Genomic DNA, 9,198 nt, shown 5'->3' on the forward strand with positions numbered 1-9,198 from the left:
TTCAGAGCCCTGAGGGAGGAGGCTGGGGTGTCCACCTCTCCTCTCCCTAGCCCCAGGTGCTCCCTGCCCACAGCCCAGGCAGAGGAGGGAAGGTCTGACCCCAGCCCTGAGGCTGGAAGGGCCTGGAGGGCACTGGCCAGGCTCTGAGCACCGGGCAAGAAGGAACAGGTCGCAATGAGTGACCGCAAGAGATCATGGTGACTCCTGAAAACGCCCAGGCCCCGCCTCAGTGCCCCGGGCTACCCCTGGCCCCCCAGGCTTTGTGCTGAAGCCGAGATAAAGTGGACAGGCGCACCTCACTCCTCCACAGGTGTGCCCCACCCCCCCACCCGCAGGTCTGCCCGAGAGCACGGCAGGTGGGAAAGAGACGAATCCTGACTCCAAGGCCAGGGCCGCCACCTCCCCAAAGCCCGATTTCACCCAATGCTACCATAAGTTGGCCTGGGCTGCTCCTGTACCCACCTGGGGCTTCAGTTTCCACATCTGCCAAGCAAGGTGCCTGGGTCCGACCATCTGAGACCCAGGACAAAGGGAGCCCTGGGAACGCCAGGCTGTGATGAGCGAGCCTGGGTCTCGTTTCTAAACCTCACGGCACCAACACAACCCAAGTCCATACAGGGCTGTGCCCTGTCAGGGTGGAGGGCCCTGCCTGCTCAGCCCCGTCCTTCTCCCCCTTGCTCTGCCCTTTCCCCACCTCCCCCAACCCTAACCACACAGACGCACACACACACACACACAGAGACACACACAGACACAGACGCACAGATGCACACACAGACACACACAGACTCACGGACACATAGACACAAAGACACACACACACAGACACAGAGACACATACATGCACACACAGACACACACAGACTCACGGATACAGACAGACACACACACATAGACAGTGACACACACACAGACACACACAAAGACACACAGACACACAGACACATACAGACACACATGGACACAGACATTCACGCAGACCCACAGATAGACACAGACAGACACACAGATACACAGACACAGACACAGACAGACACACACACACATAGACACACAGACACACGGATAGATAGACACACAGACAAAGACATACCTAGACACACACACACAGACACAGATATACAGACACACAGATACACACAGATACATACACAGGCACATACACGAACACACAGACATACCTAGACACACAGATACACACACAGAGCCACACACAGACACACATATACACATACACAGACACAGACACATATGCACAGACATAAACACATATACAGACACAGACACACACAACACACAGACACACAGACACACAGATAGGCACACAGACACACACAAACACATACACAGACACACACAGACACACACAGATAAACACACACAGACACATAGACACAGAGACACACACACACAGATAGGCACACAGACACACACAAACACATACACAGACACACACACAGACACAGACACACACAGATAAACACACACAGACACATAGACACAGAGACACACACACACAGATACACACACAAAGCCACACACAGACACAGACACACAGATAAGACACACACACAAATGGACACACACAGACACATAGACACAGAGACACACTCAGACACACACACAGATACACACATACACATGCAGATGCACACAAGGACACACAGACACACAAACATACAGAGACTTACACACAGATGCACACATACAGAGACACGCATACAGACACACAGACACACACACAGATGCACACACAGACGTACACGTATATTATTTGCAGCCGAAGAGAGGCAGGCTGCGTGCAGAGGCTGGCAGCTGGGCTCCGTCTGTCCATGCGAGGCGCCCGCTCCTGTTTGTGCGGGACACGTGCCCAGGTCCTCACCAGCAGCTCAGGCAGAACCTGGAGCCACAGACACCGCCCAGCACCATCCTCACACATCCTCTGCCCACCTGCCCTCTGCTCCGCGTCAGGGGAGGCAGGAGCTGCCCCTGGGGCCTGCTCCAGGCAGTTCTGCCACCGCAGGTGAGAGGGGTGGGCTGGAAGGAACCCTGGAAGCAGGTGGGGGCCCTCGGAGGCAGCCGCCCCACAAACACCAAGCACACATGGAACTCGGCAGTCCTTTATTTAGATCAATGCGGGGCTGAGGGGCCCTCATTCCACTGCAGGGCAAAGGGGGACCAGGCCCAAGGAGGCCTCCTTCTGCCCAAGGTCTGGAGGCAGAGAGGGGCTCGCAGGCGGCCCGAGGGCGCCGCATCCAGGCCCCGGAGCGCAAAGCCTTCCTCCCAGGGGGAGGCAGTTTCCCATCCACCGACCAGGTTTCCCCGGAGAGTCCCAGCACAAAAGCAGCAGCGGGCGGTGGCCCTGAAGGCTCAGAGCGCAGCCAGGGGGACACAGGCGGGGAGCCTCACTCCTGGGCGAGCATCCTCGCGAACTCCTCGTAGTTCACCCGCCCGTCCTGGTCCACGTCGGCCTCGCGGATCATGGCGTCCAGCTCCTCCTGCGGCAGCGGCTGCCCCAGCCCCGCCATGGCCCGCCTGAGCTCGTCCACGGTGATGTGGCCGTCGCCATCCTGGTCGAAGGCGCGGAAGGCGACCTGCAGGTCCTCCAGGCCGGCCCTGGCCTTCTTCGCCGCCGTCAGGAACTCCTGGAAGCTGATTTCGCCGTCGCCGTCGCTGTCAACCTCGGAGATGAGTTTCCTTAGCTGGGCCTCCGAGAGGTTCTTGCCCGTGGCCTTCAGCGCCGCGCCCAGCTCCTGGGCATTGATGGTGCCGTTTCCATCCGTGTCAACCGCGGAGAAAGCCTTTTTGTACTGGGCCTCCTCCTCAGGAGTCAGCTCACCGGCCATGCCTGCGTCTCCTGCACCTCGCGGAGCCTCCGAGCTGCTGCCCACCGGCCCTCAACCTGCTGCTCTCAGAGCTCGTGGTCCAGAGTGCAGGCAGCCGCAGGGATCCGGGCAGCGTCTGTCCCAGACAGTTCTGCCTTGGCATGGGAACCCCCTCCTTTTCTGCAATCGGAACAAAGGGAGGAGGGAGGCTCCCCACCCTCCAAATGCCCTGGGGTGAGAGCCTCCTCCCAGGGAGGGCCAGATCAGCTGCAGACAGGAAATGCAGGAATGGGAGTTGGGAGAGCTGTCAGGTGCCAGGTGGGAACTGCCATGGGGTCGGGGTATCGGATGGCTAGCCTGCCAACCCCGCCTGGCCTTGATAGCAACCACCTCCCTCCAGGAACATTCTGCCCAAGGGATAGTTTCCCCTGCAGCTGATTCTCGGAGATCCTGACCAAGCCAAGGGGTTCAAGACAGCTTCTGCAACTTCACAAAGACTGAGACTGGAGGGGGAGGTGGCTTGAAGAGGGCTCCCTCAAGGGCACAGCAGGCCCCAGTGTTTGGTGTTTCCGTACCCCTCTCTCCAGTGCTACTGCCTAGCTCTTGCCCTGAGGCTGGGGCTGGTGGAAGGGAAGTGGGTGGTAGTGTTGATTCTGCCAGGGCACAACTGTGGGTATCATGAGATTCCCAGGCCAGGGTCTAGAGACAGAGGATGGGGCTCACTGCCTATAACTTCAAGGAAGCAAGGGACCAGGGCTGCCTTCAGAGCCATAGCTGGTGCTGAGATGGTGTTTATCAAGTGAACATGTGACGTGCAGTTTCAGAGGAGAGGGAAAGACTTTTTGTCTCCCCAGAATACTCCCTTCTAGCTCAGGGATTCCTACAATTCAATTCCATCGCCAAGTCCAAGGTTCCCTGTGCAGACACCCTGGGAGCTCAGTGGCAGGCGTTCCATTCACAGGGCGTCAAACAGTTACAGCTGGAGTTTTGCTGCAGCGAGACACGGGGGACCTCAGTGCCCAGCATACCCCAAAGGTGCAGGCAGAGGTGCAGGAGGATGCAGAACAGGTGGCTGCCATCAAACTTGGCCCTCCTTGTGGTTTTACTAAGCATCAGCCCTAAGCACAGAGACCCATCTGGGAGCCTACTGGGGTCCTCAATCTGATCTGTTCTCTGGAAGGAAACCCCCAGGGCCACTTGCCTTGACCAACTTTTAGAGCAACAGCTAAGCTTTCGGGGGACCATCCCCAAGTCCTTCCACTGATGTGATCTACAGTTGTGAGGGGACATTTGCCTTGGAGTCCCCAAAATGCCTTTCCCAAGCAAGTCCCCTCTGATCTCCATAGATTCCCATTCTTCTCCCCAGCCCCTGCCCGTACACAGGGAACAAACTCCTTTATTCCCCTGGGAAAGTTTATACATTCCACCTCCCTCCTGTTCAGCCCATCAAATAGACCAAGTGCCCTCTCCTTCCCTAAAGTGCAGCCAGACAAACACCTCCCAGCCCCTTGGTGCTGCACACATTCTCCAAGGGAAGCCGGAGGCTGGGGTGCCCAACCACGCACTCCATGACCCACAGCTCAGTCCCCCAGGACCACACAAGGGGCAAACCAGGCAGAGCAGTGAGAGGAGGGAAGATGCCCCAGCCAGCCCTAGTGTGGCAGCTGCTCCCTGAGCTGCATGTGAGGGGCCAGAGGGAGGTGCAAAGGGCTCGGAAGCACCACAGCAGAGGGAGAGGCTGAGGTCTGCAGAGAGGGAGCTCCGTGGACCAGGTACAAAAGGGAAGGTCATGGTCAGCAGGGAGAGGGAAGGAAGGGGGTCACCCCACCGGAGTTCAGGGGGACCCAGCATAGACAGAGAGATGCAGAGAGCAGTGTCCCAGTTGTCTAACTCATTTTATAAAGATAGCTTGAAGATTTTCTAGCTCACCTCAGTGGTGGAATAATACAGAGGCCTCAATAAATATTGAGCAACCAATTTCTCAATGAAATTGACAACCGGTTTGGGGTGGAGAACGTGGTTCTGGCCAGGAGATGAGAACAGAGAAGCATCCTGCCTGGTGAGGGGCCCAGGGAGGGCGGGACTCTGAATAGCTGGATTCAGCCCAGCTCCTTGTTTTATTTCCTTAAAGAATACCTGAAGATTTAAATCTATAGTTGAAATTTCCTTTCCTTCTGATCTTGTTGATGGGACCTGTGATTAAAATCCAAAGGCTTAATAATTATTTCATGTCATTTTCCCCAGGTATTAAATACTACTTTGCAAACAATATTAGGAGACTTGAGCTCCCGGTTCCAGTTTTGTCAGTGATGTGGAAACGTGTGTCTCAATATCCACATCTATAAACTAGGATGATGCACCCACCATATCTGATCGGAGCGTGTAGGATCAGAATATTAAGTACAGAGCCAGCAGCAGGTGTTATTATTCTATGATAAACCTCATGTTAATAACGAGCTGATTCATGTTTGATGTAAACCAACACTCGGGAAAACATCTACTTGAAGGGGAATCTCACAATTTTGTGATTATACCTCTTTTGATTGAACGGAAAAATTAAATGCGTCCACCTCGAGGTTTAGTTAAGTCCAACATGCCAAGGCTCAGAGCATTAGCTGACTTTTCAGTGTCAGCTCCAGACAGAGGCAGTTCCATGCAGAGCAGAAGCACCTATTTAGAAAAAGCCTCAGGCTGTCTCATCACGAGACAGGATGATGGTCACTATTCTCACGATGTGCGTTTTCTAGATGGAGAGAGGCCGTGTCCATAGGGAAAGTCCCCTGACTTCCCGCTGCGTGTTTCCCCATCCGGGGTCATTTCCTCCCTAACACATTCTCTTTTCAGGGCATGTACAAGCACTGAGATTGTTTTTTTCATCCTCCCCTCAGCCTCCCACCACAAGTGGCTTGCAAGTATGCAAGCCGTCAGCTGCCTTGGCTCAGCCTCTGTGGGTGAAGTTTCCACTCCCCTCCTCTGGGTTCAGCACTAGGGACACCAAGGACGGCCATGCCTGAGTGACCCGCACCACAGACGGCCTGGCACAGCCCAAATGGGGGCTCCCGAAGAGGGACAAGATGGCATTTGTTGTCAAATCTAGGCAAGCTTGGTCAAGCCCCTCTGCCTTGGCTGGTTTAGCACGGCAGTTGGGTGCAGAGCCTGGCTTTGAGGAGGGAGAAACCCTTCTTTCTAGCTAAGGTGCATTCTCAGGCGACGCCTTCTGCGTGTATCCCTGTGTGATGCAGGGGCCAAGGGCATCACCCGTCCTCCACTCCATAAGGAGCCTGAAGCTGGGGTGCCCAGCCGCTGGCTCCACATCCCACAGCTGAGCTCCCCCGACCCAGGGGCCATGTGCGAAGCAAACCCAGCAGGGAAGTGAGAGGAAGGAAGATACCCCAGCTAGCCCTAATGTGGTGGCTGCCCCCGGAGCTGTGTGCGAGGGGCCTAAGGGAGGTGCAGAAGGCTGGGAAGAACTGCAGCAGAGGGACAGGCTGAAGTTTGCAGAGAAGGATCCAGGGACCAGGTGAGAAAGAGAAGGTCGTGATCAGCACAGAAGAGGGAAGTGGGGGGGTTTGCAGGGAGATGGCAGCTTTGTGATTGAGTGCTGGAGGTGGGCTCTCCTCCCCTCTCCCGCGCCTGTCAGCTGAGCCCCTCATGGAGACGCCAACTCTCCCTGCCACCCTGGAGGAGAAAGGGAGTCTCCTTCATTGAGGAGGACTGAAGACGTCTGCAACTTGCTATAGAAAGGATGAAAACCTCTCCAAGGTGGCTGGACAGGTCCCCAGAGGCAGGAAGGGGAGAGTTATCATCAGTCATGGGACTGCCTTGTGCATTAGCTGTGTGCACATGTGTTTTTGTGTGTGTATGTATATGTCTATTTGTGTGTGCATGTGTGTGTGGGTTTGAGTTTGTGTGTGCATGTGAGCACAAGTTTGCATGTGTGTGCAAGTGTGCATGCATGTATGTGTGTGTGGGTTTGAGTTTGTGTGTGCATGTGAGCACAAGTTTGCATGTGTGTGCAAGTGTGCATGCATGTATGTGTGTGTGTGTTGGGAGAAGATATGCAGGGTGTAGGGTGGCTGTCCTGTTCAGGCAAGGCCAGCTCTAGCTTTCACACCAGACTCACCCCGGGAACAAAAACACACTCTGGCACTTCCACTACACTTTGGCTCCTCAGAGTGGAGAAACCAGTCAAACAGGCCTTGGAGCCTCAACCAGCACAGAAACTCCTCACACTTCTGTGTTTGCAGAAACTGATCTCACCTGGCACCTGTGCTGTCTCTGCAGTGTTGGCACAGCCCTGACCTTCTCTGAGGACAGGGCAGCCCCAGGGAAATGAGAAGGGCCTGTGTGGAGGGTGTGATCTGTGGAAGAGAACACGGGGGACCCAGCTTCACAGAGCTCATCTCCCTTGCGATTATCCTCAGCAATGAGAAATAGAAATGATGAGCGATTGTGCTGGTTGCACAGGCAGCTGGCTCCGAGCCCCCTTTCCTGGGTACTCCTAGACACTATCCACCTTCCCTGCACACCACACACCTCCCCTACACACCACACACCTCCCCTGCACACCGCGCACCTCCCCTACACACCACACACCTCCCCTACACACCACACACCTCCCCTGCACACCGCGCACCTTCCTCCCCTACACACCACACACCTTCCTCCCCTACACACCACGCACCTCCCCTACACACCACGCACCTCCCCTACACACCACACACCTTCCCTACACACCACACAACGTCTTCCCAACAGCGTGTGGTAAGATCACTGGGGGTGAGCTCCTGGCTTCTGCACTTTGCTCCCTGTGTGGCCTGGGTGAGCTGTTTCACCCCTAAACGCTGCATGCCTCTCTGGTGAAGAATATGGTACTAGCACCTGCCTTATAGGAGACTTGAGAGGGGCAAAGCCCTGCAGGAAAGCCTCCGCCCAGCACCTGGTGAGAGCAAGCACTCAGTAGGCAGAGCCCCTGCTAGCTCCTGCACCCCCTGCCTGCGCCAGCTCTCTGCTGGGTGACATGCCAGGCTGCTTCCTGGGCAAAGCAGAAGTATCCTCACTGCAGACCTGGGTGGCAATTCTAAGTTCTCAGGGCTTCAGCTGAGTAAAGAAATGCCTGATTTCACTGATGCCATGGACAGCATCGACCTTGCTGTCCACTGCACTCCTGGGGTCCCCCACGTGCTCCACGTGTGTGGAACACGCTTGACAGAGGCTTATAATTCTACAGGAAACCATCACAGGGTGAGGACTCGGAAGGTGGAGAGCTCTGTTCCAGTCTAGATTCCTGTCCAATCAATGGTGTGATTCTTGGGCGACAACAACCTGAAGTCACGCCAGGGGGTTCCCTGGACAAAGGGCAGAGGCCCCCCGACTCCCTCTCCTGGAGAGGATGCTTGTGCGTTCTCGGGTGAGGAGAGGCTCTGGGGCTGGTGTGGGTTGCTATTTACCCAGTGCCCACAATCTGTCTAGACTTGCTGGGCTAGTTGGCAAAAGCGGTCCTCCCCCAGACTCTTACCCATCAATGACACACCTGGGAACCTGGCAGGACACACCTGGCTCTGTGTCCCAGACCCGGAGCCTGTTTATCGGTCCCCATCTCCCATCCCTGATTATCCAGCACCTCCTGGAGAAGTGTCTTGAGAGAGGTACTTATCCAAGAACTGAAACATTTCAACTCGGACCGTATTGGATGGAAATCTAAGGTGGATTACATGTTTTGTTCCCCATCATTTTAAACAAATTAGATGGAGCATAATCCCAGTGGTTTAAAATGATACATTAGGACCCTCCATTCACTGCGCAGAGGTTTGTGTGGGGTCTGCCATGCGTGAGACGGTCCTGGTTCGTGGTGATTTCCCAGGTGGACCTTCCCACCTGCCGTCGTGGGGTAGGCGGCCCCTCTCCCTCTCCCATGGGTCTTCTCAGTATGTTCTGAGCTCCTCTTCATTTCACAGCTAGTTTTGGCAGAACTTAAGGCATAACTCAGTTGTCAGGAAAAAATATCAGCAGCTTTCGTCTAAAATCAGTAATAGAGCAGTGGTTCTGAGGGTGGTGCTCCGGACTGCCGATGTATTTCAGGATTCAGGACCATATTTTGAAGCGTGAAGATGGCCGTGAGCCTGAACACTGGACAGGATCAGGGATTATCATGATCCTGTTCATTGCTATAACACATATGTACAAAAACCCTTTGGGGAAGTTTAGACCCAAACAACTAAATGCAAGTAGATGGATGTGCAAAGTGAGAGGCGAGAGGGAAATCTATTTAAATAATCCTGGAAACCCAGAAGTTCTCAAAGAAAAGGTAGATGTATTTGACTACCTATAAAAAAGATAAAAACTTCTGTGTGAGCAGCAAAAAAAGACTATA

At 54.8% G+C, this 9,198-nt stretch overlaps 1 protein-coding gene across 1 annotated transcript; it reads right to left on the reverse strand.

The window, feature by feature from the left end:
- Positions 1-2,104: 2,104 nt before the first annotated feature.
- Positions 2,105-2,978, reverse strand: CALML5 (calmodulin like 5). The gene has a single exon (NM_017422.5). The coding sequence runs from the start codon at positions 2,844-2,846 to the stop codon at positions 2,406-2,408; it is 441 nt and encodes a 146-aa protein (NP_059118.2). The 5' UTR covers positions 2,847-2,978; the 3' UTR covers positions 2,105-2,405.
- Positions 2,979-9,198: the final 6,220 nt, after the last annotated feature.

The sequence above is a fragment of the Homo sapiens genome, chromosome 10 (assembly GCF_000001405.40).
Source record: "Homo sapiens chromosome 10, GRCh38.p14 Primary Assembly".
Lineage (NCBI taxonomy): Eukaryota > Metazoa > Chordata > Mammalia > Primates > Hominidae > Homo > Homo sapiens.

Excerpts from the sequence above, each read along its gene's own strand:
- CALML5 (NM_017422.5), bottom strand. The coding sequence starts at position 2,846 with ATGGCCGGTGAGCTGACTCCTGAGGAGGAGGCCCAGTACAAAAAGGCT.